The sequence below is a fragment of the Homo sapiens genome, chromosome 11 (assembly GCF_000001405.40).
Source record: "Homo sapiens chromosome 11, GRCh38.p14 Primary Assembly".
Lineage (NCBI taxonomy): Eukaryota > Metazoa > Chordata > Mammalia > Primates > Hominidae > Homo > Homo sapiens.
The window spans coordinates 120,866,869-120,894,867 of NC_000011.10; the positions used below are offsets into that span (position 1 = coordinate 120,866,869).

Here is a 27,999-nt window from a genome sequence, read left to right on the forward strand (position 1 = left end):
CCTCGGCACAGAGCTGAAGACTCCTGTAGCCCTTCCCATGAAATTATCCTGCCTTCTCCTATTTTCCTTCTCAGGGCATCCTCGTAACAGTTAAGAGTGGTCATGTAGCCCTTTTGGACAAGTGGGGAAACTGAGGCACGGACGTGCTGGATGGCACATCAAGGGTCCTCTGAGGTCAGCACTCCAATATAACCTGGAGTAGAACGTACATCTGTCTCCCAGTGCCAGAGAACCTTCCAGCTACTGTCTCTGTGGCCTCCGAGAGGGAAGGGAAGGTGTTGCGGACTCTCTCACCTCAGCGTGTGGAAAGGAAGCTCACGGCAGCGACAATAGCAACACACCTCTCTCAAGGCTTCTCACTTTAGCAACCAGCTTTTGAAAAGTGGTGCCTCTTCCTGTCTCTTTGGGGGCTGAGAAATTCACAGCACAAACAGCCCAGCTCTTTTATGTTCTGGGTAGCTGGAAGGCGAGAGGGAGTCAGTTCCAGGAAAAAAGCCTGGTTCTGTCCCCACCATCAAGCGTTCTACAAAAGCTGCAGCTCCAGCCTCATGGGGACGTTCTCTCTTTCTCTCCCTCTTCTCCCCTTCTTTACCCTTTTCTCCGTAACCTTCTTTTCTGTTTCTCTCTCTCCACACGATGTTCCCTGCTCTTTCTTCACTCTTGGCACTTTCTTCTCTCCATTGCCTTTTTCTCCTGACTTGGGTAAGGGTCTGCCGCTCTTCCTCACCTTCCGGGTCGGGCCTTCGGCATTCTAAGTGGAGCTTTCTGGAGAGGGAGCCCCGTTCTAAGGGCACTGAGAGAGGAGTGGCTGAACTGAGAGGTAACCAGGAAAGCAAGATCAGTCCATGCCCCCAGGCCATACCTGCCAGGTGGCCGACAGGAGATGCAAATGTGCTTCTACCTGAGACAATGCAAGCAGAAGAAGGGATGTCGCAAATGGAGACACACACCCGCTAGCTTCACACGCCGTTCCCATTAATCACGCTGCAAAGAACAAAAATCCTGGAAAATCATTAAAATTACAGATGGCTAGATTAAGTAATTAGAATTTAGGCTAAAGCAGATGTTTGTAATTAAGTGTTTATTTCATTGAATAAAATCCAGATTGTAAGAACTATTCCATGGGATTTTAATGGTTCCTGTCCTGGTATTATATTGGGGGGTAGAGTTTAAGCTGCAGAAGTTCAGAGACAAATGGGCATCTGGGAGGATCCTGGGAATCCCGTCATCTGGGGCATGGAGAGAGATGAGGGTTACAGGTGTGTATGTAGGAGATATTCTTATTTTCATGTCATGGGAGGGGGAAGGAACTCAGCCACAGCTCCCTGAGTCAGAACTGATTCATCTTAATTTATACAGAGCCTTGCATTCCCCTAAACAATTTGCAAACAGCTCAAAAGAAAATAACAATGAAGAACCAAATGAAAATATAAAAACAAGAGAATCGAGGGTTCATTGCCAAGCAACGTTTTGGGGCCAAGAAAGAGGAGAGGATTTTAAATGAGGATTGAGCCATTTGGGGTATTTAATATTTAGAAGAGACAGGGACAGGAGAAGCAGAGACAAAAGCGAGAGGCGTGCACACACAGATGAGGAGTAGAGGCCATGGAAAGACAGAAAGGAAAAGGAAATGTATTGAGAGAGCAGAGAAGGGGTGGAAATGGGGGGGGGGGCGGTGCCTCCTTCCCCTGATGAGCCCAGAAGTGGAGACATGGATGGAGGGCTTTTTTTTTTTGAGACGGAGTCTTGCTCGCCCAGGCTGGAGTGCAGTGGCACAATCTCGGCTCACTGCAACCTCTGCCTCCTGGGTTCAAGCAATTCTCCTGCCTCAGCCTCCCAAGTAGCTGGGAGTACAGGCATGTGCCACCATGCCCAGCTATTTTTTTTTTTGTATTTTTAGTAGAGATGGGGTTTCACCGTGTTGGCCAGGATGGTCTCGATCTCCTGACCTCGTGATCTGCTCGCCTCGGCTTCCCAAAGTGCTGAGATTATTATAGGCGTGAGCCACTGTGTCCGGCCAGGAGGGCTTTTGTAACAGAAACTGCTTCTCCCTGACTGTAGCCCCAAATGCTTTCCAGAGCTAAATGAGTAAGTAATAGCGGAGGGAAAAAACAATTAGGAGAGGGAGAAAGATGCTTTGGGATGGAGATCTGAAACAAGGTGGAAAAATTGATGAGGCAGAGAGATGACAGGCTCGCACGCCATCAGAGGAGAAATTCGGTGAGGGCAGGAGATTGGTGACTGTGAGGAGAGAGCTGCAGGCACAAGGGTTGGGAGGTGAATTCTCAGAGCAGTTTGAAGGATCCAGGTGAGAAGCGTGGGCAGATTGGCAGGAGCCTGCAGAAGACAGTGCCTGGTGATGGGTGGAGGAACCCGAGGAGACTGCAGCGGGGGAGAAGACGTTTGGGGTTTAGAAAGGGTCAGCTCTGACCAGCCCAGGCTGAACCACAGAGAGGAACTGTGAAGCCCAGAGCCTACGGGGGACACGTCAGTGGTTTCACCCCTCTGAAGGCCACACACAGGTGGAGAGGAGACCACAACCTTGAGGATTTTCCTTCTACCTGCTCCCTGTGCCCAGCATCCCTAGCTGGCATTAGTACTAGAAGCACTCGAAGAATCTTGAAGGCCATGGAATTAGAGATGCCAAAGAACATTGCCAACAGGCATGCACGGATCTCAGCATCCACATCATGTGCTAATAAGAGAGCATCAGCCAAGAAAACCATGTCCCAGACGGAGTGGGAATAGTGGCAACCGTGTGGCAGGAACCAGCTGGGGGCCTGGTGGGAGGATGTGAGAAATGGCGTGGTGCTTCCTCTGCAAATCTGCCGTGATGACGGTCTCTTGGGGACCAGCACACAGCCTCACTGGAGGAAGAGGGGGCCTGGGGAGGGGGCCTGTAGACACTGGGGACTGGTGCAACAATGCCTCTGAGAGGAAAGGGATCCCCAGGGCCTTGGTACCAGAGTACTCTCGGCAACAGAAACCCTGTATCAAAACGTCTTGTGAGAAAACGGAAATGTGTTATTGCGTGGCTTAGCAAGATTCCGGAGTGGTGAGGTTGGAGGCCAAATCTTTTCCATCTCTGCTGTGTCCCCACTTGGTTACAGCTTCATGCTCAGGCTGGAGCTGGGCTGGCTGCAGCAGTCCAAGCATCCCAACCAGACACAGACATGTCCAGAGGAGAGAGGAGCGTCCTTTTAGGAGACAGGAAACTTTCCTGAGAAGCAAGCCCCTCATTCCAGGCCTCAGTTCATGGCTCATTGTTTCAGTGGGGTCACTCACACTGTCCCAAATCACATATTGGCATGGGGACCTTGGACCACCCAGGATTCCCTGGGACCTGGGGCTGACTCAGCCTCCTCTGAAGCTCCTTACAGTTTGGGACAGGGAAGGATACCTAAATCAAATGGGAGGAAGAAGGGGAGAATGGGTGCTAGGTAGGCAGCCAATGGCTAATGGCTGTTAACTGAGGGGCTAACGTGAGGACAAACAACCAGTCTTTCCAGGAGGCAAACTGGGTGATGGCCCCAACATAGGGCATTAGAGAAGCCTGCCCACCATCCCTTCCTGCCCCCACCCCGGTGCCAGAGTCCCATGCTCCCATCTGCTGCAGAGAAGGCAACAATGAAAGATTGCCCCAAGTTGTCCTGGGAGATGAGGCATAAGAATAAATCTGATAGAGCAATGACAACCTAGGCTTCTCGGAGGGAGGGAGGTGGAAGACAGTGCTGTGGAGAGGGGAGGAAGCCAGTCTGGACAAAGGGTACTGGGCCTCCAGGCCTTGCTTTGTGACCTTGGGCAAGAGAAGAATGCCTTGTGCCTCAGTTTCTTCATTCGTGAAAGAAGACAGATGAGTGGTTTTTTTTTTTTTTGGTTTTGTTTGTTTGTTTTCTGAGATGGAGTCTTACTCTGTTGCCCAGGCTGGAGTGCAGTGGTGCAATCTTGGCTCACTGCAGCCGCCGCCTCCCAGGTTCAAGCGATTCTCCTGCCTCAGCCTCCCGAGTAGCTGGGATTACAGGCGCACACAACCACACCCAGTTGATTTTTGTATTTATACTAGAGATGGGGTTTCACCGTGTTGGCAAGGGTGGTCTCGAACCTCTGACCTCAAAGTGATCCACCTGCCTCGGCCTCCCAAAGGGTTGGGATTACAGGCATGAGCCACTGCGCCCGGCCGGATGAGTTGTCTTCTAGAATTTCTTCCAGCTCAATCACTCCACGATTTTGGGAATCTGAGAATGGTGAGATTAACTGGGAGGCAAGGGAGAAGGTGGGACAGAAATTGGTTTATAGCATCATTTAAATAGCCAAACAGAAGGATCTAGAAGCCAGTTTCAGTTGGGGCAGCTAACTTGCTGTCAATTTGTCTAAGCCGGAAAGGGAGAATCTGCAGCATTAGTCTGTGGCATGTGAGAGGCCCATTAATAAAAGAGCCACATGTGCTCAGGGGAAAGCGAGTTACATGGAAGGACAAGGACGGTTGTAGGCTTGCAAAGGAGCATTCATTACCATGCAGGGCGAATCAAATGAAGAAGGAGCTGAGGGCAAAGGGGAAGAGCAGGGAAGCAGAGAAGAGAGAGTAGAAGATGATGGATGGAGGGACTCGGGAGTGTGGTGGCTCAGCCCACCTCATCCTAGCTCAGCAAGACTGCAGAGGTGTGCACTGTTCCCCATGGTGAGAATTGGGTGTCCTTTGTTGCTTAGTCTTCGGGTTCCAGGAGGCTCTGGGACCAAGGGACAGACAGGAAGGGAGTTGGAGCAGGGGAGGCAGGAGACTCGACGGAGGCCGAGGGCAGTGGCCTGATCCAGTATCTCTGTGGAGAGTGGGAAGGTGTTGAGGTCTATGGTACCTGCCAGATGGTAGTGGCTGAATAAAAGTGGGAATAAAGCAAAGAAGCAAGGCAAGGAGGAGAAGCAGCAGCAAGAGAGGGAGGGAGAGAGAGAGGGAGGAAGAAAGCATACACCAGCCAGGTAGTTTTGTGATGCGGGTGAACTTGGACTGGAACAGACAAACTTTGTTGACTGTTTTGCTCTGTAATTGCCTTTTAAAGAGATTATCCAGAGCTGGCTCACCCAGTTCCCCTCATAGGCCTCCTGGCCCAACATGTAGCAAAACTGGGTAGGAAATAAGCCCATCCACCCTGCCTGTAGCCCCCTGTCCTTACCACTCCCTGGAGCCTTACTTAGTTCAGTCAACACCGGCTTCCTGAGCACCTGCTAACATCTGTCTGGACCTGAGGGGGCACAGCCCCTGCCCTCAGGAATGCTGTCTTCTGACGCTGGCAGTTTGCAGAGCACTTTTACAGACTTGTGAGGCAGGGACTGCTGCTTCTCTTTTACAGGTAACAGAAATTGTTGCTCACTTGGAGGGATTCACATGCCTGGGATCACTCAGCACATAGTGAGGGGCTGGGATCTGGACTCTGGACTTGGTGTTCATGCTTTTAAGCTCTTTCCTCGACACCTCACTGTCTCACACTGCTTACACTCTGCCTGGAGAGCTTGAAAAACCCCGAGACAGCATCCCTCCATCCAACCGTGGAGGGGCCGGTGTCCCAGGGCTGGCTAGGAGGGAGGCAGGCTGTAAGCAGTTGGTCCCCTGGAATGGTGGTCTCACAAGGGTGCTCTCACAAGGGTCTCATGTGGGACCCTCACAAGGATGCCATCAGTTGAAAGAGGAGGCTCGGAAGGGGCAATGTTGAGTCGCCAGTGATGGAATGTCGTGTTTCAGTGAAGGAACTTGCCTTGTAATGGGACTCTGTGTGGACTTCTAGCCCTGTAACACCACTCCTCCCAGGAGGCCTCCACCTGCCTTCCTGGACCCCCTCAGGGCCTTGGCACAGTACTGAGTGTATAGTCAATTGCACTTGCTAGGGTTTTGTTTGTTTGTTTGTTTGTTTGTTTTTTGCCAGGGACCCCGCATACATTAACATAGTGTGGTATTATCTCCTCCTTAGATGGCACGTTCCTCAAGGACAGGTGTCTTCTGTCTTTCCACTCCTACCACCTCCACCAAGATACCCAGCTTTCCCCTCCCCACAGGCTGCAAACATTGTATCCACTTATTGGGTAGTGGGCAAATTTCAGCCAGAAGTTAATTCAAGTCAAGCAAATGTCTTAGGGGCCAGCCACACGACAGGCCCCATGACAGATGCTGTGCAGAATATAGAGATTAAGGTCCTGTGTGTTCCCTGCCCTGAGAAGCTTGCATTTTAATAGGGAAGATGAAAATGTGGGCACACAACTATGCTGACCTCTTCCCTGACTTTCAGGCCCCGCATGGCAGGACCCCTGCCATGTGAGTGATGGATTGCTTCCTCCAGCCCCGCCCCTCCTCTGCCCTCCTCTCCTTCTAGGAGTGGTCCAACTCTCCACTTTCTAGTCTTTGTTCCTGCAGTTCCACGCTCTGGAATGCCTTTCCCTCTTCTCAGCGACTCCCCATCCTTCAGTGCTCAGTTCCAATGCAGCATCCTCCATGAAAGACTTTCTTGATTGCCCAACCAGATGTTTCCCTCTTTGGAACCCTCCCCAGGAAGACCTTTGTGGACCTACCACACTCTGTCTCATGTTCCTCTTGTTTGTGCCCTGTCTCCTCATACCTCCCTTCCCCATCCTGCTGTAATCACAGGAATAGGCTCCTACTCATCTTTGGGCTTTGAACTTACCATGTGCTTCATACCTACTCATCAAGTTGTACAGTACAAAGTGGACTAATATTAGGCACATTTAGGAAGAAACAATATCGTGGGGTCTTGTAGGAGGAAGTGACCTTCAACTGAGCCTTATAGAATGGGCAGATAGGGGGGCAGTGGCCAGGTTCCTTTCTCTTCTTGACATAAGCAGCCGTGCCCTCTTCTTCAGGATTCCTGGTAGCAGTGGCAGTTGCTTGTTTCCCTGGAGCAGAGAGAAAAGGGTACACTTGAAGTCATGTGGGGCCCAAAGGGCCAGCACAAGGCTTCAATCCCAGAGAATCCTTTGCCACCATTGTGTGTCTTGGGTGAACACCTGACTATTAGATGAAGTAGAGCTGGCCCAGAGACAGGACGTGGGCCAAGGGTGATGAAGATGCACTCTTATTTCCCTTTCTTTTGCTTTCTCTTTTCTTCCTCCATTCCTCTTATTTTCTCCCTCCCCTCCCTTTCTTCCTCTACACCTCTCACTCCCTCCCTCCGCCTGCTCCCCGGCCTCTCCCAGCTCTCCTCGGCCCTGCTGTTTGATGCTGTCTATGCTGTGGTGACTGCGGTGCAGGAACTGAACCGGAGCCAAGAGATCGGCGTGAAGCCCTTGTCCTGCGGCTCGGCCCAGATCTGGCAGCACGGCACCAGCCTCATGAACTACCTGCGCATGGTGAGGAGCGGCTGAGGCCCTGCAGGGCTGTGCCCAGGCTAGTGGGGTGGGACACTTGGTTCAAGGTACAAGAGTCCCTCAACTCCAGGCTTGCTCGAAATGTGTCTGTTATTACAGCCCCAGATAAATCAGTGATCTCTGGTGACCCCAGTTGAATGGATCATGAGCCACATTTGTTCCCTAAACCCCAATAACCACTGAGAATTCATGGAAGTTTGTTCAGAAGGCAACAGCCCTCGAGCCTTACACTATTAGTGGGCCCCTGAATTCCAGACTTAGCACCTGGCCTCTCTGCTCAGCGGTGTTCTCAGCAAAGCTCCACACAGCTGGGAAAGGGTGGTGCTGCTGGAGACTGGCATCCCTCTGGGAGTTGCAGGCTCAAGACTTCTAGCTTGGCTGGGTTTCCCATTGTTGTCCTCCCCAGCCATGCTTCCTCTGGTGGGTGAATGAGGATCTCTACCCTACACAGAAGACTTCTGTCAGAGAAGCCTGCTGCAGCACAGTGTCTTGGACTTTGCATTTAGAGTTAGGTGGAGAGTCATCCTGACTTCCTGTGGACCTGGGGGTGGGTGAGTGCCTGCCCGGAGAGGATGAATGCTGTGGACAGCCAAGGGCCTGGAGGAGGGGCTGAGGGGAATCTGAGCTCAAGTTAGCACCATGACTGGGTTGGTTTTTGCAGTTGGTATGGGGTTATTGGGGGAGCATTCTTCTCCTACTCCAGGCCAAGCCAAGTCTGAATTGTCTCCACAGACATCACATTTGTCATCTCAAGATGCCTTGGCTGTGTGTGGGCAGGAGAAGGATCTTAACTGCTTTGCCTCTTCTGGGCATCCTTAAATAGCCCCTGTGTAGAAATCTTGCTTGGGGGCAAGTGTAACCTGGGGCCTGTTTGGTGCTGTAACTCACTCTCTCTTGGACAGGTAGAATTGGAAGGTCTTACCGGCCACATTGAATTCAACAGCAAAGGCCAGAGGTCCAACTACGCTTTGAAAATCTTACAGTTCACAAGGAATGGTTTTCGGCAGGTAAGCCTAGCTGCACCGTGGTGATGGCAGGTCCTCCTCTCTGTTCCATTTCATTGATGCCTCGGTGTTTTGGATGGCCTCCTGCTCCCAGTTATCCCCAACAGCAGCAGGCTGGATCCTGGGCAAGGCTCCTGACCTGCACCAGCCTCTCCCTTCCTGCCACCAGATCAGCCATTGTGGCTCAGGGACTGCACCCCCAGCAAAATACTAAGAAGGAGAGAACTGGGGTGAAAGGGGAGGCAAGGGTGTGTCATGTAAGGGGGGGAATTCCCAGGGAGGATTTTACTCCATGAGTCTGACCCTAATCCTGGAGCCCATTTAGACTCCAGGGAGCCTGCTGGCAAGGCAGAGACTGTATCACATGTGGGCCAAGGAAACCCTTCAGTGTTGCAGTGCATGGCTGGGTCTCTCCTGTCTGCCCTTCTCTGACCAACCCACAGCTCCCACCCCCATGCCAATGACACAGCTCCTCTCCTGGCCGCTCCCTGCCTGCTCCATCATTGCAGGGATGCCTTGTCCTTCATAGTTCCTTTCAGCTCCCCACTCCTTTGCTCATTCTCCGCCATTACCCTTTTTCCCCTTTTCTGAGATCTTCCTCCATCAGAAGAAACAGAGATCTGAAAGGGATCTGACTTTTGAAGTGTCTCTTGAAGATCTCCCACCCTCGCCATCACCCTAATATTCAACTCCCTATTATTTGGCTGACCCTTCTGCAGCCTTAGAAAAGGCTGGTAAGTAGGAAGCCAAGCACTAAATACAGCAAGAAGTGGGTACATTGAAAAGCTTCCTGACTGTCAGAGTGGCTGAACAAGGGAGCACACCACTGAAGGGTTGCACAATCACCTTTTCCAGGAGATTATGAAGAATCATCATCATCATCACCACCACCATCACTGTCATCATCACCACCACCACCATCATCATCACCACCCCCACCATCATCATCACCACTACAACCACCACCATCATCATCATCACCACCACCACGATTACTACCACCACCACCACCATTACCACCACCATCACCACCACCACTACCACCATCATCACCACCACCACAACCACAAAACCACTACCACCATTATCACTACCACCACTATCACCACCACCACCCTCATCACTACCACTACCATCACCACCACCACCAGCCTCATCATCACAACCACCATTGTCATCATTATCACCACCACTGTCATCACCACCACCACCATTGTCATCATTATCATCACCACCACCAACATCATCATCACTACCACTGCGATTGTCATCATCATAGCAGCCTCCATTTATTAAGCTTTTACCATGAGCCTTATACCATGTTAAGTGTGTCATATATATTTTCTCTTTTAACCCTACAAAATAGATACTTTTTATTAGTCCCAATTTTATACTTGAAGAAACTGAGGCTCAGGGTGACTGACTGACTTATCCTTGAACAAACAGTAATGACAGAGCTGGTTTTGGACCCAGAGAGATCTACCTCTAAAGTCTAAGTTCTTAACCATTACAACAAATTATGCATCAGAATCACCTTGGAAATGCAATAAAAACACAGATTTTTAAACTCTACCTCACAAGAGTCTAGTTGGGTAGGCCTATGACAGGCCCCGGGAACTGATGCAGTTGTCAAGCACCCAAGGTGATTCTAATGAAGCCCTACGGCCGTGGAGGCCCTGTCATGTCTGCCTCCTGCTTCTGGGTCCCAGCATCTGAGAGGCTCCGATCAGCCCTCCTTAGAGTCCAGTGGAGTTCTTTCTAGGAGATCGTAATTATGCTGGGCCCTGAGGCCAGGTCACCCTTCTTGGAAGACGAGGCAGTAAAAGGAAAGAGTCTCAGACAGAGAGGAGCCCAGAGTCCTGCTGCTGACTCTCAGAAAGGCCTCGTATCTCTGGGGCAGAGCTGCATTGTCTGTAAGCAATAACAGCTACCATTTTGTATAATTTCTCAAATGAGAGCAGGGTTAGGTAGGCAGCCAGAAATTTCGGGGATGGCATTTCACAAAATGGTCATTTTATTCATCTAACAAGTCATATATTGAGCATGCACTGTGTATCAGGTACCATGCTGGGCCTGGGGGAAAGGAAGCTGAAAAAGATTCAGCCCCTGCACAGAGAGAGTGCTCATGGTCTGTCCAGGGAGCCTGACATAGAAAACCGTAAGTGCAAATGTGGGTTATTACACTCAGATCGTGCCCTCAGGCTCCTAATTCCCTGAATAGGTGAAGCTGCCAGCCTGTGGAGAAATTGTCAGGCAGACTTTTCTCTGAGCCCCAATGTGCTTGAGGGATGTGAAGTGAAGAACATTCATTCATTCTTTCAAGACATCTTTGTTGATTGCCTATTATGTGCCAGACTGTCTTCTAGGTATAAGTTTTTTAAGATGGAGAAAGTGGCTGCTTTTGTGGAGCCTGTATTCTAGTAGGGGACAGGCAGTGGGCAAACAAATATATATGTGACATAGTGTCAGGAGTGGTAAGTGGAAAAAGAAAACGGGGAAAGGAGAAGGGGGTGGAGATGATTACAGCGGAGGAACAGTTAGGAGAACATGATGCTCACTCCACAGAAAGCCTGATCCCAGACTTTGAAACACTCCCCTTAGACCTCAGTCCTGCTTTGTGAGTGCTCTGGGGAAAGAGCCCACTTCCAGCACCCTCCATCAAGAGACACCTGCAGTGGCAGAGCTGGCTGGTAGCCCTGATCCCACTCTCCACTTGAAGGACAGCTGATTAGGCTCCAAGTACCTCTTCACCTTTATTCTGCTTCTCCAGCAGCCGCTGCTCAGGCTAGCTTGTGCTAGCCCTGAGGCCAGAGGACTGCCTGAGTCATTAAGAAACAGCGTCATCAGCCCCCAGGGCTCATCCTTCAGCCCCCAACCCAGGCCAGCAAGGGACCGTGCCCTGAGGCATCCTCCACAGCGGCTGCAGTTTCTTTGGCAGCAGCACACATAAGCGGGCAGGACAGGCTTCTCAAATGTAGACGTGCACCAGGATGACCGAGAGTGCTTCATAAAAGTTGGACATTCCCAGGCCTCACAGCTATGAATTCCAGTTTAGTAAAACTGGATGTATTCCAGGAATCCGCATAATTTTAACCAGCTCCGAGATAGATGATTACAGTGCAGGTGGTCCACAGACTACCCTTTGACAAATACTGTCCTAGTAGAAGAGTGTTCGTGAACTGCAGCCTCTTCACAGAGATTTTTTTCTTGACCTCTCCACATCCTACCCCCATCTTTTTGAGCCAGTGTTGGATGGAATCTGCTTCAGAAGTGACCATTAAAGAGGATGTGCTTTGACCTTCGGCTACTCTAAGGGACACATACTCTTGATTGGACTTGTGAAGTGGATGGTGATCATTCTCTTTATGCCCCGCCCCCCCCCCTTTTTTCAACAAATCTAGTGAGTGTCCTGCTGCTTCCCTGTCTGGTTTAGGTGCTGTGAGTACCAAGCAAAAACTGTGCGTGATGTATCAGGGACACAGATGTAGCTTCGCAGCTTTGGTCCCCAGGTCCCATCCCAATCACCGCCCGATCTTTGCCTCTTGACAGGTGTCCTTCCCCTGCTTATTACAAGATGAAGAAATGGTTTAGGGAGTGATAATTAATTGGGCCTCTCTTCCAGGTGGAAGGAATGTCAATATCTCTGCGCAAATATTCTCCCAATTCCATTCAAGGTGATGCTGGGCAGGGGAGGAGAAAGTGACAAGGAACAGGGGAAATAACATCTTTTGAGTACTTTTTGCATACCAGACACCACATGCGCACTTTGCACAAATCACTTCCAATCTTGACGACAGCCCTTCAAGGCAGATAAATTCCCATTTCACCAATAAGAATATGGGAGCTCAGGGAGCGGAAGGAACTTGGTCCCGCTATTAGCAAGGACTTCAGACAGAGCTGGAATTTATGCTCAGGCTTGTCCAATGGCAAAGCCCGTGCTCTCGGATCCCCCACTCCTGGCTATTCCTCACTTTCCTGGAATCCCTAAAACCCCAAATCAAACCCCTTCAGCCAGGTCTGTTGGTCTGCTGCCACCTGCTGCAAACCAGGACAGTGCCTGGGTCCTCATGACCAGCTGGGCTGGGCGTTCCTTAAGAATGGCATCTTCTCATTGGGGCTTGGTTTCATTCTCTCTCTTCCTGTCTGGATGAGTGACTATTTAAAGCTGGTTTTGATTGTTTAGAAAGCCCCACGCAGCGACCTGCTGGGTTGCAATTGGTAAAACGTCTGAACCAAATACCACATTCTCTGCCGGTGGCTGATTAAAGGATTATTACCATTTTAAAAATAGTCTATCAGAACTCAGGATTGTTTTCTACTATTTTAAAAATGACTATTTTGATTCTGTTCGGAGAGGGTTTTCAGTCTTGGGACTGACCTTGTGGAGCTTCTACTGGAGATTGCAGGGTCAGGGACAATTCCCTGTTGTGCCCTGTCAGTGACATTTCTGAACCTGGACCATCGCCCAGTTATTGGCTTATGGGCATAGAAGTTGACAGTATTGTTTCAGCTCCACCCTCCAGTTTTTGCACATGCGAGATCTCTGCTGTCCATCTCATATCCTCCCTTTTCATGACACGGAAGATGGCCTGGACAGTATTAGGAAAGTATAGTCTCCCTTCCTGATTTGGGAGAAATCTTTGGAAGAGGCTGGGAAAGAAGGAAGCACAACATCATAAGGCCCTTAATATCCTTCGTTTAACTTGGTCTAAAGATCAGAGATTCTGAGCAGCCCCCAAGCAACTTTGTTAGTGCTGTAATAAGATGAGCGTATCTTTCATCTGAGGATTGGAAATGGCTTGACAGGCTCTAATTAAGCCTTTGAGGTTTGCTATTCCTAGTTAAAGATGCAGATCTAAACTTTTTCTGTTGGCTCACTGTGTATCACTACGTGGATACCTCAGTTTCATTTCTCTGAGCAATGGAGGTCGTAACCTCCCAGCGTTTGACCTGGGTGAACCCAAGAATTATCCAAACTAGAATTGCATGGCACAGTCTTGTCCTTGCCTGTGGTTACATAGAAAGCCGGCTCTACTGACATAGTAGCTAACATTTGTTGTCACCTACATGATGTGCTGTGCTGAGTGGTGTAAGTATGTATTTAAAATTTTTCATCATTTCGTCAACCCTGCAGGAGAGCTATTCTGTCAGCTTGTAGGTGAAGGAATTGAGACACAGAGAGAGAAGAAGTCATGTATCTACATTCATACAGCCAGTAAGTGCCAGATTGAAGAACTGGGTCTGAGTACAAGTCCAAGTACAAGTACAAGGCAGGACTGGGTCTGCCTTCAAAGTCCAAGGTCTTTCCACTATGCAGAGTTGTCCCAGCCCATGTTGGAAGGGACCTTCAAGCCTTTCATGGATTCCTCCAACCCAGTGTAAGAACGTTTCTCCATTGTTCCCCTGAAAGAGATGACCGCCCAGCCTCTCCTTGAGCATGTCCTGGGCTGAGGAATTCACTGCCTCTCAAGGGACACATTCCAAATACTTCCAGGCACTGGGTCAAAATCTGCCTCCTAATTCTGCCATAATAGGAATAGTCTGCTTCCTCTTTCTTACCAGCTCTTCAAATATTTTTTAAAAGTTTGATTTTACTTCATTCACTTACTCTTTCATGCCTGAATTTAGCATAGAATTTTTGAGCACCTTCTCTGTGTCAGGGGCCGGGAATGTAAGATTCATGAATCATGGTTCCCTCAAGAGCTCATAATCTTTTGGGGAAGGCAAAAACTGCAGCCAGGTCTTACTGTACAGGGCTGGTATTGTCATGCTCTTCCATTTTTTCCTTTCTCAGGCAGCGGTTCCCAACATGACGTGGCTGCCACATCTCTCACCACTAGTGCTTTTCAGTTCGTCTAGGTTGTCTATTAAAACACAAGGCCCAGATTGAACACCACACTCCAGATGGGGCTGAACAGCACAGAGCTGAGAGCACTGGAGGATTATGAATTTCCTCAAACTGAACGCCAAATTTCTATTTGCCACATTAGCTTGCTTGCTGGAATTTGTTTTCCAATTTTTTTATTCATTCTGAACTCTGGGCCTTGGGATCAATTAATTATTCCACTTGCCTTTCTCCCACCAGGTACACAGGTTTCTTTTCATGTGAACTTTTCTAGAAATTAGACCTGAGCCACACTTTCCTTAGACCATGGATTTATTTCACTCTGCTCCTACAGAGCTGGAGAAACTGGCCAGGCAATGAGGAGAGGGCCAGTAATAAGCCTTGTGAGCTGACAGCCAGACTTTTGTTTTCCAAAGCTTATATCAACCCAGCTTTCAAGGGGCTGGCTCTCTGGAATGATTTGAGTTCTAACCCAAGGAGGAGGATGGATGAGATGGCTTTCCTGAGTCACCCTTGCGAACCAAGAACTCAGGGATCCAGTGTCATCTTTAGAAGGCTCAGAGAATTCAACCCAACTCCTTGAAATTCCTGCAGGTCCCACCTTTTGCTAGGAGGTCAGGCTGCCTCTCTTTAATCTCCTCTCCTGCCATCTTGCCTGACACAAGCCCACACAGAGGCAGCTCTGCCCCCTTTCCGGGGGAGTTGGGATCCTCCTGCGTTGGCAGCAGTGGAACTTGCTTTGCTGCACTCCTGAGTCATGTAAAGGCAGCTGCATTTCTTATCGTGGCCCTGTGCAGCTGAGAACTCTGGAAAATAGCTTCTGTTGCTCTGGTGGGAATTTTAGCAGACCTGCTTCTCTGGTGGGAGCCACTCCTGTCCCCATATCTAGGCCCTTCCTCCATTTCAAAAGCAAACAAACCTAGAACAACAGAAAACCATCAAAGCGCCCTGCCTGTCAGATGACATTCTGCACTGACATTGCCTTCACATGGCATGGAAGAATAGTGAGGGGCATTTCATGCTCTCCATGGAGAGGTACCCCCGGCATCTGTGCCCTTGACCCCAGCCCCTCTTACTATGAGCTGACCCCATCATAGCTCCAGCCCCTCCTGTGCTAAGGAGAAGGGCTATTAAGGCTCAGACAGGTTGAGGGGGGTGGGAGGGGGAAGGCAGCTCTGAGAGTACTGTGATTGCTACTGTCTAATACATTTTCAATTTGAGGAAGGAATTTACCATAAATATGCAGATCCTTTGAAGCTGCTTCTGCCGGAGCCTGGCTCAGAGTGCTGGAGCCAGGTTTGATTGCTGGGAATCAGCAGCCTTGAGTGCCAGCTCTCCGTCTGGGGAACAGACCTCCGTGGGCCAGCTGAGGAGGCTGCTTGACAGGCGATTTCCCCCAGAACCAGTGGGAGTGACTTTGCCTTTGATGAGGAAACTTCGAGACGGCAGATCCGGGTGGAGGGAGCAGAAAAAGAGATGGGTGGCTGGGGGGCTGCTTTGAAGGTTACTGAGAAGTCACTTATTTCTTCTTTTTAATTAAGGGGAATTGGAATGAGGTTTAAAATAGTTGACAACATCTCATAGAATGTCAAAAATTCTTAAGAGTTGGAGGTCAGCGAGTCCATCTTTCCTACCAGAGAACACATCAGTGAGAGTATCATTCCTGGGCTTAAAACCCCTTGGCGGCCCCCATTTGCTTTCAGGATGACAGGTGCTGGGTGCTGCATACCTTTGAGTCCCCTCGTCTGCACTGGCCCTTCTGAGGCTCTGCCCCAGCAATACCAGATGCTGTGATGGTCAGGCATGCCAGGCTCTCTCGCATGCCCTTGCCAGTGCACCCGTACCCACTCCCATTTCTCACCTGGCTACTCCTACTCACGTCTCCAAAACTCAGCTCAGTGAGGCTTCCCTAATCCCCAGCTCCTGCAAGCACCGGTCCAGTGCTCCGTTTATGTGCTCCCTCTACTGTAGCCTTTTCACACTATTATTCAGTGCTGGGGGCTCCCTGAGCCAGCTGAGAGTGGTGCTCAGTGCAGGCTTGGAGAGCGAATACGGAGCGAACGAGGGACTGGTGTGTGCACAGCCCACCTCCCTGGGCCCCGGGGAGGTGTGCAGGGGGCACACAGATGTGCTGTCCGGGCCTAAGGAGCTCATAGCCAACAGGGACACCAGAGCCCTGGGGACCTGAGGATTTTGTCATGAGAGTTCTCTAAAGCTACTGTTCACCAAGTTGTTCAAGAGAGATTTCCTATGACAAACCTCCCCGCTGACAACTGGAATTTGAAAATTGAAGCAGAAGGCCCCTCCAATCACTGATATCTTTCCCCTTTCCATTCCTTTCCATCCTCCAAGAACAGTGCTCCCCTACTTCACTAAAAGGCTCTGAAATACTTTCTCCTGTGAGTGAATCAGGCTCTCCTGTCCACCCCAGGGACAACGGTCAAGGGGCAGATGAGCTGGCTTTGGCAGGATGTAACCTGAAGGGTGTTTTCTCTCCTGCCTTCCTGGCCCATGTAAGTCTGGTTCTTTCTCCCAAAGCACAGGGACTTCCTGCTTATCAGCTTTGATGGAAAATTCACTGACTGCAGAAGCTTATTCACACATCAGCCGGCAAACAAATTAGAGCTACTTAAATTTTCAAGCTGGGGGCTGCTTTTGGGCAGAAGAGCAGGGTTTTAAAGTGCTGCATTTTAAATGTATTTCTTATAATGTGCCCCATCACGCTTCTGCCTGAGATCAGTCTGGGGAAGTTTGCCAGTTCCCAGTGACTCTTTTCCGTGCCTCTTCAGCCAGCTCATGCCTGGAAGAGCTGGAAGAGGCGGACCTGCTAATTCGGTCTCAGGAAGCAGCCTGCGTCAGTCAGCTCTGATGGGAGGTGGGCCAGGCCACCGGCCAGAGGTGTGGGGTTTGCAGGCAGGCAGGCCTGGGGAAAGAACAAAGGTGGATCCAGGGAGGTGAGGGAGCCACATGCAGCAGCAGGCAGCGTGGGGCACTGGGAAGGGCATAAGGCTTCATGGTCAAAGGCTCAGGGAAGAGTCCCAGCTCTCCCAGTTTCTGTTCTAGCATTCTGTTTCTCAATTTCCTCCTCAGTCAAGCAGGGATGGTGATCATCATCATATCTGCTTTATGTGCATCATAAAATTATTGTGAGAGCAAAATGAAACATTGTTTATAGCTGTGCTTTGAGGATTCTACTATATTTGCAAATTTTAGTTCTGTCATCTCACCCAGAGATGACTATCTATGTATCTGTCTATCTTTGTGTGCCGTATTCCCGGAGTCTCGCTTCTAGGCTGGCTCAGGGCAGAGAGAAGAACAAAACGGGGGTGAGCGAGACGCCCAGGGCCAGGTCACTCTGGCTGTAACCACGCAAAGACCGGCCCATGCCAGCCAGGCGGGGTGCACACCAGCTGTACCAGGCTGGCCACTCAGGGCTTCAGGATGGCCTCCCCACAGCCTCTCCCTCTCCTGCCTCTCTCCTTCCTCCACCCCTGACCCCTCCTTTTTCCACTCTCTAATGTGGCAGCCTCACTGGTTCCACTTGGCAGTGGCTCTGGTTTTGTGTGAAGCTGAGGGAAGCAGAAGCTATGGTCCCACTCCTATGAGAATCCCAGCACCCCAAAGGCCTGCCCGACAGAGCGCTGCTCAGACAAGAGCTGCCGACACCCTCAAAACTAAAATTTCCCCATCCAGCCAGAGCGCTGCAAGGCCCGGGCACATGCTAGCTGCCTGCTGTGAGCCAGCTTCCAGCTAGGGGCAGAGCCGGGCCATGCTCAGGCCATCGCAGAAAGCTCAGAAGTTGCATCCTCCCCTGCCCTCCAGCATGCTACTGACTTCAGTGTCCTGAGTTCCAGAAGGACGGCAAGTAACCGGCTTCCTTCCACCCGGGTGCTTCATTAAAACCGTGAGTTCAATTGGCATCTGCCACTCAGAGCGCAAAGTTGTGTTATTAATACAACCAGCTTTCCCAAGGTACTTCTCCACCTGGTGCGTTTAACAAATGAAGCCAGGCATGGCCTGCCTGTGTCATGTTCTTTGGCAGTAAATCTCCAGCATGCCTGAGCTCTCTGATAAATTCTTTCCTCGGCAGCTAATTCAAAACACCTTCTAGCTTCCTGGAGGTGAGAGAGGGGTATGCAGATGAGTCCTCGTGTTGACTGATCCTGCCATGCACTCCGCACACGGCAATTTGAGGAAGGCCAATTTGATCATCCCCAAAAATGTTTAGAAGTGAGTCTGTGAGATTTTCAACTATGCAAGAAAAGAAGAGGAAGTTGGGGTGTAGGCAACATAAATTCTTCTTTTTTTTTTTTTTCTGAGATGGAGTTTCACTCTTATTGCCCAGGCTGGAGTGCAATGGCACAATCTTGGCTCACTGCAACCTGCACTTCCTGGGTTCAAGCGATTCTCTTGTCTCAAGCTCCTAAGTAGCTGAGATTACAGGCGCCTACCACCACGGCTGGCTAATTTTTGTATTTTAGTAGAGATGGGGTTTTGCCATGTTGGTCAGGCTGATCTCGAACTCCTGACCTCAGGTCACCTGCCCGCCTCGGCCTCCCAAAGTGCTGGGATTACAGGCATGAGCCACCACGCCTGGCCAGCAACAGAAATTCTTAAAATCACTTAGTACTTCTGTCCGAAAAGAAAGGAGATCTGAGCATCCTCACAGCTCGTCTCTGAAAATTTAACTTCAGAAACCATGAGCTAGGTGGGAAGTCTATTAAGTTCATACAAGCATCATACAGGGGTGGCATTTTTAGTCAGAGCTGACTAGGGTGGACTGAGCTCCACTCCTGCCCTATTATTTTCGCCGTCACTGGAATCTCTGAGAACAGCCAATGTGGTTTTATTCTCTTTGGCAAGAGGAGTGGTGAGGGCTAGACCAAATTCTGCTTCTTATGCCAGACGTTGGGGATTAGGGATGGAAGTCTGGGCAGGTCTTGGCACAAGCTACACATTCGAGAGCAGACAAGTACGGTTGATCCTCATTATTTGTGGATTCCATGTTTGCAAATTCAACTACTTGCTAAAATCTATTTGTAACCCCCAAATCAATACAGTGCTTTTGCAGACATGTACAGAGCAGCAAAAAATTGGAATCACTGATGTGCACGTTCCCAGCTGAGGCTGAACAAGGCTGCACCGTGTCTTCTTGTTTCAGCTCTCATACTGTAAACAAGTGTCCTTCTCACAGTCCACTTCATGTCACATCTTGTCTATTTTTGTGCTTTTTCTTGGTAATGTTTCTGTTTAAAATGACCCCTAAGCATAGTGCTGAAGTGCTATCTCGTGTTCCTACCTACAAGAACCAGTGATATGCCTTCCAGAGAAAGCATGTGTGTTAGGTAAGCTGCATTCTGGCTGAGTGAGCGTGCTGTTGTTTAATGTTAACGCATCAACAGCATATATTAAGCGAGGTGCCTGCAAACAGCAACACATGTAAAACAAAGTGATTGATTGATTGAAGAAAGCACCATGACCAGAGGCTCACAGGAACCTAGCCCTGTATTTCCCATAGGAACAAAAATGGTTCGGTATTCCCTAATTCAGTGTTTGTGGCAACTTTATAGAACAGAACTACCACGAATAATGGAATCACCTGTAGTGAGTTTCAGCCAAGAGAGAAGACCAGGAATGAGCAAATGTATGAGTAGCTGAAGTTTTCCTACAGTGGCCCTTTCTCTGCGTTCACTGCCCCGTACTCCTGCTCTCCTGTTTTCTCACAAAGAGCAAGGACTTCATCTCCTGTTGATGTCCTGCCTTTCTCCTGGTTCCCCTGATGCAGAAGTAGAATCCAGATCTTATATTCCTGCGGTCAAAAAGAATACTAAAGGGCTTCTAGACCAGCACTCTAATTGGCTGCTTGGATTCTTGCAAATGGATCATCATAGAGTCTGTTTGAATGCCTCCAGTGTCAAGGAACTCATCACCTACAGGAACAGTATATTCCATCTTGGAAAGCTCTCATTCTTGGAAAGTTCTTCTATCTATTGGGCAGAAATCTTCCTTTCTAAAGCCTCTTTCCTTTTTCCTTAGTTGTGTTTCTTGGGTTCACACATCTATTCCACCCTTCCTGTTTCTACCTTCATTTCGTTCAGCTCAGAGAGGGCTGTTTTGTGGCAGATTGGAGAGGAGCCTTCCTTGTATCCCTCACATCAGTGGCCACCTGCCTCACCTTCATGCCAGGGAAGCAGTGCTGCCCGTGGCCTCCTACCGTCACCTGTCTGAGACCTTCTGGGGTTGCCTGCTCAGGAAACTGCTCAGACAAGAGTTGCTGACACTCACAAAAGTAAAAAAGAATAAGCCCATCTCTCTCAGGCTCTGCCCCAAGCCACTCTGCAAATTTACATCACTTTATAAATAAACCCAGCATTTTCAGGAATTCCTGTTTGAGCTGGAAGGGGCAAGCCTGTATCCTTCTTTTATAGGTAAGATAACTAAAGATAAAAAGAAATGACTTGCCCAAAAGAACTTTGTAATTCAATTCAACAGATATTTACTGAGTACCCTGTATAGGCCAGGCACTGCCCTGGAAGCTGGGGCCACAAACGGGAATTTATTCACGCATCCAGCCAATATGTAGTAAGTGCCAATTTCATGCTAGGTATTGGGCATATGATAGTGAACAAGACAGAGTCTCTTCACTCTGGTACAGGAGAGGGGCGTGAAACAAATAATTACCTAAATAACTATATGATTACAAACGTGATGAGTGCTACAAAGCAGTAGTTCAGGGCACTATGCACAAGTCTGTGATGTGGGTCTTGATGGAGACAAAAGACTGGGAGGGGCCTCCCTGAGGGGTGACATTCAGGCTGAAGCTTGGTGGGTGACTGGGAAACCCCAGGTGAAGGGGAGTGTGAGGAGCCTGAGTGGGACCACCCAGAGGCGGTTGTGGTGGATGGCAGAGCTGGTTGGGAAGCCAGAACTCCCACTCTGCTTATTTCTCTGCCGCCTAGCCTCCCCTTCCTCAAGCTTTATTTACGTATCCTCTTCTAAATATGTAACTCAGAATCAAAGACAAGGGATAGCAAAGGCCACCTTCAAGGATATGGGGTCTCAGGCAGGAACGCTTGTGGCAAATGCCAATGGATAAAGGATAAGGATTCGAATGTTTACTAAATGTTTAACTGTATAGTCCCAACCCAATAGAATTAATATCTATTAGTATTAGTATCTATATCTATCTAGTAGCATAACAGACCTGCCTGGGTTTGAATCTGCATTAACTATGGAGCTTTGGGCAAGAAACCCAACCTCTCAGAGCCTCAGTTTTCTTATCTGTAAAACAAGGATGATGGCAGTATTTCCCTTGTGATGTGGTTGGGAAGATTAGATGAGATGACAAATATAAAGCCTTTAGTCCAGTACTTGGCATATGGTAAGTGTTCAAAAGTCTTAGCTTGTATAATTTTCTTATACTGTAGTTAGTCCTTCAGTTATAACAAGTGACCAGGACTAGGAGTTCATTGATGCAAAAGAATATATTTATTGAGAACCAGTTATGTTCCAGGTACTCAGCTAAGGTCTGATGATAGAGTAGTGAACAGATAGAGTGTCCAGATCTCTTATGCCAGGCACTTGTACACTTCTTGAGCCTGACTTACATTTGGGTTGCAAGTCAGGATGCACATAAACATCCATCTATATGTAACTGAAACCAAAGCTTGTGAAACAAGGTACCCCTGCTATGTGCATTACACCCTGATCTATTCTAGGTATAGATTTGCTTTTTAAAATGCATGTCTTGACCCACTGAATTGATTTCATAACCCACTAATGGGTTGCAACCCACAGTTTAACAAAATACTGCCTTGGACCAACTGAGTTGCAGGCTTAATAAAGCCCAGTTAGAGTTCCCAGCCTTCCCTGGACTTGTTTTTGATCTCTTACCCTTGGCATTTACCATTGCTTTCTTTTGATCCTGAATTTTCAGCATTATTCTGCACAAGCATGTATTTGATGGTTCCCTCTGCTACTAGAATGCAGCCTTTGGCCAACTTCAGCATCTCCCTTTGTTCCCCAGATCACCCACTCCAGGACTCGGTTGGGCTCTTGCTTACTCATGACTCAGTCTCCTCTGTGAATGAAACTTTTATGATTGGAGATATTAGATTTAAATGCAGTAAGCGTTTACTCCCTCGTGCCAAGGTGTTCACCACGGAGGCTAATATTACAAACCTTTTTAGTTGGTTTTATTTCAAATACAGATCTATATAATATAAGAGACTTTGAAACTCTAACAATCTCAGTTTATTCCTGGGATCCCTGGCCATAGTGTTTTCACCTGAATGTCACTTTTCCTGCCCATATGTCAGAATCACTTCTGTGCACTCAAGAAGCCACAAATACATTATTAATATGCATCTTTCCTAGTAAGAACTTCAACTTAGTACCCTGAACCTGAGAGTAAAAAAAAAAGAGTCATTGGTTATGGTTCATCTGACTTTGGATGTCCCTGGAGAACAAGGATCTGAAATAGAATAAAATAGAAAGAGCTTACATTTTTTTTTTTTTTTTTTTTTTTTTTTTTTATGAGATGGAGTTTTACTCTTGTTGGCCAGGCTGGAGTGCAATGGTATGATCTCAGCTCACTGCAACCTCTGACTCCTGGGTTCCAGTGATTCTCCTGCCTCAGCCTCCGGAGTAGTTATGATTACAGGCATGTGCCACTACTCCTGATTAATTTTCTGTTTTTAGTAGAGACAGGGTTTCACCATGTTGGTCAGGCTGGTCTTGAACTCCTGACCTCAGGTAATCCGCCTGCCTTGGCCTACCAAAGTGCTGGGATTAGAGGCGTGAGTCACTGCACCCAGTCAGAGCTTGCATTTGAATAGGCCTTGAAACTTTTGTCACATCTGTAATTGCCTCAGATCACCCTAATAAGGGGAGAAGGGAAGGGGAGCTATTTTTATCTTATAGGTAGCAAAATCAACTTCCCAAGACCATGTAGTAAGTTGGAGGGTGGAACTTGAACCCAAATCTCCTGACTTCTGGCCGGCTGCATTCCCACCAAATATACAATGGTACCGTTAAATGGTACCATTATCTTATGTTCCCATGGCTTATTGTGGCTTGTCAAAGGCCATCACGTACATTATCTCAGTTGCTTATCAACAACAACAACGCTGTACTATGGGTAGGCAGGTTCATTTATTTCCAGATGGAGAAGGTTCAGAGAGGTTAAATGCCTTACCCCAGCTCATACAGCTTATGCATGGGAGAGGAGGAAAAAAAATGTGGGTCCTCTTGTACCCCCTGAATCCCCTTGTGCCAAGCTAGCTCCTAAGCAACCACTCTGGGCCCTGGCCAGGATCACTCATATGGCCTCTTTGAAGTGACTCCCTTCAGGACTATATTTAGTAAACAAGTTCATGATGATCAGAGAGGAATTGAGAAGGCCCAGGCCTTAAGGTCAAGACAAGATACACCTGTCCTAACTCAACCAGATGGTATAGTAATAAATAGAACCTAAGTTCCAATCTCAGTTTAATCTCCTATTAACTGTGTGACCCTCAGCAAGTTGCTTGATATCTCTGAGTCTCACTTTCATTCATTCATTCATTTATTCAACAGAAAGGTGTATGAAAGTGCCTACATTAAGCATTATTATTGTTGTCTGAAGTACCTCCATTAAGCCTACATTTCTCAGGTGGGAATAATAACAAGGTTGTTGTGCAGAATCAAGGAGATTTACGTAAGCAGAGCACATGGCTGAGTGCCCAGAATGCAAAGGTGATCAATAAGTGTTTGCAAAACCTGAGTCTGAAGCCGAAGGACTTACCCTGCCTTGGGGTTACGGTGGCCTCCCTAGAAGAAGCTGGATCCTGGCACTGCTGAGTGCAAAGAACAATCATCTAAATGTACATAAAATATGAAATGTTATAGTGCTGCGTGCACACCCACAGATGCAGGCAAAGATGTGAGGAAATCCCTCGAGGCTTTAAAAATGAATCTCTTTTTACCTACTTGAGAGGGAACAAAGTGGCAAAATGACAGCCCTGTGTGATTCTAGGCAGGAGTGAGAGCTGTGAGCAGGCAGGATTGCCAGGGCTCCCCCTCAGCGGCAGGGCGTGCAAGTTCCAGGGATGACACCCAGGTGAGCCTGTGGGCCTCCAGGACTGGTCTATAGGAAAGGGCCTGAGGGCTCACTGACTGCAGCCTGGAAGGAATCTGAGCCACAGAGAGGGGAAAGGACTTGGCAAAGTTCATTTCATCCCTGCTTACACACCAGGCACTGTGCTATGCCCGTTCCCATCGCTGTCTTGACTCTGAAACAGAATAGCACAGTGGTTAGGAGCACATGCTTTGGGGATGCAGAAAGCATGGGTTTACATCCCCATCTTGGTACTTAGCAGCATGTGACTTTGGGGACATTCATGACCTAAACTTGCTAAGATTCAGGACGTTTAAAATCTGTAAAATGAGTACAAAAATAACTCCCTCTTAAAGATAGGCTGAAGGTTAAATGAGATTCTACAGGCAATGTTCCTGGTGCATTCACTTAACTCGATTTTATTGAGCATCTGTGATAAGCTAGGCACTGTGCCAGGCTCTAGGGATAAAAGGGCAGTCAAAGCTGGCCATGATCCCTACTCTCATGAAGCTTATTATCTAGTAAGAAAGATAGGCGGTAAGCAATGGTCACATCGATGAATGTTTGGAAGGAAAAGAACGTGGTTCTGGGAGGAGTCCGACTTTGAGGGATTAGCAAGGAAAGGCTTCCTGGAGGAAGGGACCTTTGAGCTGAAGCCTGAGGGGATTAACAGATGTAAAGTAGATCAAGATTCAGCAAATTTTTTTCTATGAAGGTCCACGTGATAAATATTTAGACTTTGCAGGTCACATGGCTCTGAGCAAATCAGCTTTTGTAGATGAAAGCAGTCACAGTGCACGAATGAATGGGCGAGGCTACGTTCCAATAAAACTTTATTTCAGAAAATAGGGAGTGGGCTGCATTCCACCTGCAGTCCCGGGCTTGCCAACTCCTAAACTAGCTGAAAGGGGCTGGGGGGCAGGGGTTCATGTGGCAAGGAGAGTTCCAGACAGGGAATGGCATGTGCAAAGGCTGTGGCGGGAAGGAGCCTGTTGCACTTGAACGCGGGAGGAAGGTAGGTGTGGCTGCAGCACAGGTAAAGCTGGACCGAAGAGCATGAGAAGAGGATGGAGAGTGGGCAAAGGACAGACCTCATGGGGCTTTGCAGGCCATAGTAAGAGTTTTGGTCTCTATCCTTAAGCCAACATGGGAAAGAATTGAAGGGTTTTAAGCAGGGACTGGCGTGTATGTGAGATTTGGTAGTGACGACTGGCTGCTGCTGTGTGAAGAACAGAACAGGGAGGCCCAGAGTGAATTCTAGTCCCAGGCAAGATCAGTGGGGATTTTGATTAGGGTGGAGGCTGGGGAGGGGTGAGGCTCGAGGAAATTAACTGACTTGCTCAGGGTCACCCACCTGTGGTCATAGTGCCAGGTACTAATGGGGGTCTCCTGATGCCAGGTGACACACTGCAGCCTCTGTCAGGAAGCCCCAGAGGACCCCTGTGGTCCTGGCCCCTGGGTGCAGGACTTTCTGCAGTGCATTGCCGCAGAAGTGACCAGCTTGCTTATATTGACCTGGGGTCACACGACAGACCAAATCCAAGTCCCTGACACTCATTCAGTTGTACAGTCATCTCCTTTCCAAAGGACTATGGGTAGCCCCTACTGATGCCACGGAACCATTCACTACAACCCTGTGGCCCTATCAGCCCCCTTGTCTAGGCTCTCCTTAAAATTCTTTCAAGCTTGGTCCCTGGCTGCTCTACCCAGGGGTCCTAGAAAGACAGAGGCTCAGAGACAGCAGTCGTAATAGGAGCAAGAAGTGATGGCTCACAGTGAGAAAAGAAACAGACACTACGAGAAAGCAGACAAATTAACGTATAAAAGCGCAGAACTGCAGGCAGTGGCCCTCCACATTTCAGTAACCCCAAGGGTAGCACTGTATCAAGGCACAGTGTAATAACTGGCTTCGTAATGATAACACTGCATATTAAGGTAGACAGGCTCCCTGTTCAAGAGGACAGAGGAACATAATAATTCCTTTAGAAAGGAGTTTTGGAAACAATGGTTTTGAATAAATAATTAAACTCTCCCAAATTTTAATGCCTCAGGAGCAAGATCATTATTAATTTATATCCACCTGTGTCCCTTGGGGATGTTGGGTAAATGATACATTCTATGTACGTGCAAACACATCCCATATCGGTTATATTTACCTAAATTTTAATATTTGACTAAGCAGTCCTATCATAAAATGTTTCTTGTAATGGCATTAAGAATCTGTAGGTAGAAGGACTATACATTTGTTTTAAATATTGTGGAACCAATTAAGCAGCCATTGGCCTTGTCTGGAATCCTATTTTTTCTACTCACCAGCTCTGCGAGTTAGGTAAATTATTAACTTATCTGGACCCTGCTTTCCTTATGAATACAGTGGGGGTGGGAATGGGATTAGTATGCATCACCTTCTAATGCCCAGCACAGAGCCCCTGTGAGTATGGCGGGCACCAGTCATGTGCTAGAGCTGGCTTGCCCCAGCCTGCAAGAGTCCGTTGTACACATCCGTTCCCAGCTCTGTGCTTGGTGACATCATGTTGGCAGCTTTAAATCAGCCATAGCGGGTGTGTTTACACCACAGAAATTGGCAAATGCTACACATGAGGGTCTTTTTTTTTCCCCCCAGGAGAGCCAGTTTGTAAACATTTCCTAACTGAGCATGGGCGGGCACTGAAGCACTGTTAATCTCTGCACCCTAACCTTTCTCTGTCATCCTGTTTGTCGTCTGAGTTGGTCTTTTTGCTCGGCTCTAGAATTTCTGATTTAGTCATTCTGGGGTAGGGCCCAAGAATTTGCATTTGTTTTCAGTTTTAATTTTGTTTTTCAAATGTCCATCTCAGAGAAGAAGAGAATTTGCATTTCTAATGCTGATACTGTTGGTCTGGGAACTATACTTTGAGACACCGTCCTAATCTGCCTAATCAACTAAAGCCCATAGTGTGAAGCCTTTCACAGAGCACACAGGAGATCCCACCTTCTGCCTTGGGCAATGGTATTAAAAACTAATAAGGGTTGACACAGTACCTTGCACATACACCATCTCCCTTAATCTTAAGAACCCCTATGAGGTAATAATTACTATTTTAATCCCCATTTTATAGATGGGGGAAACAGGCTCAGAGGGATTCGGTAACTTACCCAAGTTCACGTAGCTCATCAGCAGAGAAGCCGGGTTAAACTCCTGTCCAACTTTGCGTTGCTGGTTCTGGTTGTGCAACACCCAAGGATGAAGTCCAGCTCGAACTCTGCATTCCCAGGGTGCAGTGGCAGGGCCACATCAGCCCAGAGGGGTGCTTTTTTCTTATCTGCATTAAGATGCTGTTTGTAGGCTAGCAGCGGCCCTGTCCAAATCCATACCTTCTCCTCCTTCACTGCAACCCCTGGGGCCTCTAAACAGTGGAAAGGCAGAGCAAGTGAGAGAGACAGAAAGTATAGAGGGAGCCAAGGAGAGACATTATTTGAAGCAAAATCAAGCCTGCACATGTGGGCATGTGGAAGCGGCTTACAAAACAGCTGTTCCTACAGGAGGTTTGGGGGGCAGGTGTCAGCAGGGTGGAGCAAAGGGATTTGGCCGGAGGCAGAGCCACAGATTGTCAGTGATGAAAGAGCTATGTCTCCTGCCCACTCCTGGCACGTGTGTGGCTTCGAGGGTGCCCAGTGGGTGGGGCAATTAGCCTGTATCCCAGGGC

General features: G+C 48.5%; 1 protein-coding gene and 1 long non-coding RNA gene across 22 annotated transcripts in view, besides 1 other annotated feature; one reads left to right on the top strand and one right to left on the bottom strand.

Moving 5' to 3' along the window:
- Positions 1 to 27,999, top strand: part of GRIK4 (glutamate ionotropic receptor kainate type subunit 4) — a 477,159-nt gene that overhangs the window by 355,121 nt on the left and 94,039 nt on the right. For 16 of the 21 annotated variants that reach the window (NM_014619.5, NM_001440404.1, NM_001440403.1 and 13 more), the window contains 2 exons: positions 7,198 to 7,350; positions 8,271 to 8,375. In NM_014619.5, the coding sequence (NP_055434.2) occupies positions 7,198 to 7,350; positions 8,271 to 8,375 (258 nt within the window). Of the gene's footprint in view, positions 1 to 74; positions 1,118 to 7,197; positions 7,351 to 8,270; positions 8,376 to 27,999 lie in introns of those variants that run through there. The other 5 variants (NM_001440413.1, NM_001440411.1, NM_001440412.1 and 2 more) reach the window with 1 other exon arrangement.
- Positions 1,065 to 27,929, bottom strand: LOC101929227 (uncharacterized). The gene is made up of 2 exons (NR_132790.1): positions 27,449 to 27,929; positions 1,065 to 6,897 (listed from the first exon to the last, which is right to left on the bottom strand). It is a non-coding gene; the product is annotated as an uncharacterized LOC101929227 (long non-coding RNA).
- Positions 7,209 to 8,408: an enhancer, noted in NCBI's record as "CDK7 strongly-dependent group 2 enhancer chr11:120744786-120745985 (GRCh37/hg19 assembly coordinates)". NCBI's record gives its function as "activates an origin of replication core promoter dependent on BRD2, BRD4, P300/CBP, MED14 and CDK7 cofactors, with strong dependence on CDK7, by STARR-seq in HCT116 cells {active_cell/tissue: HCT116}" and the evidence as "EXISTENCE:reporter gene assay evidence [ECO:0000049][PMID:35650434]".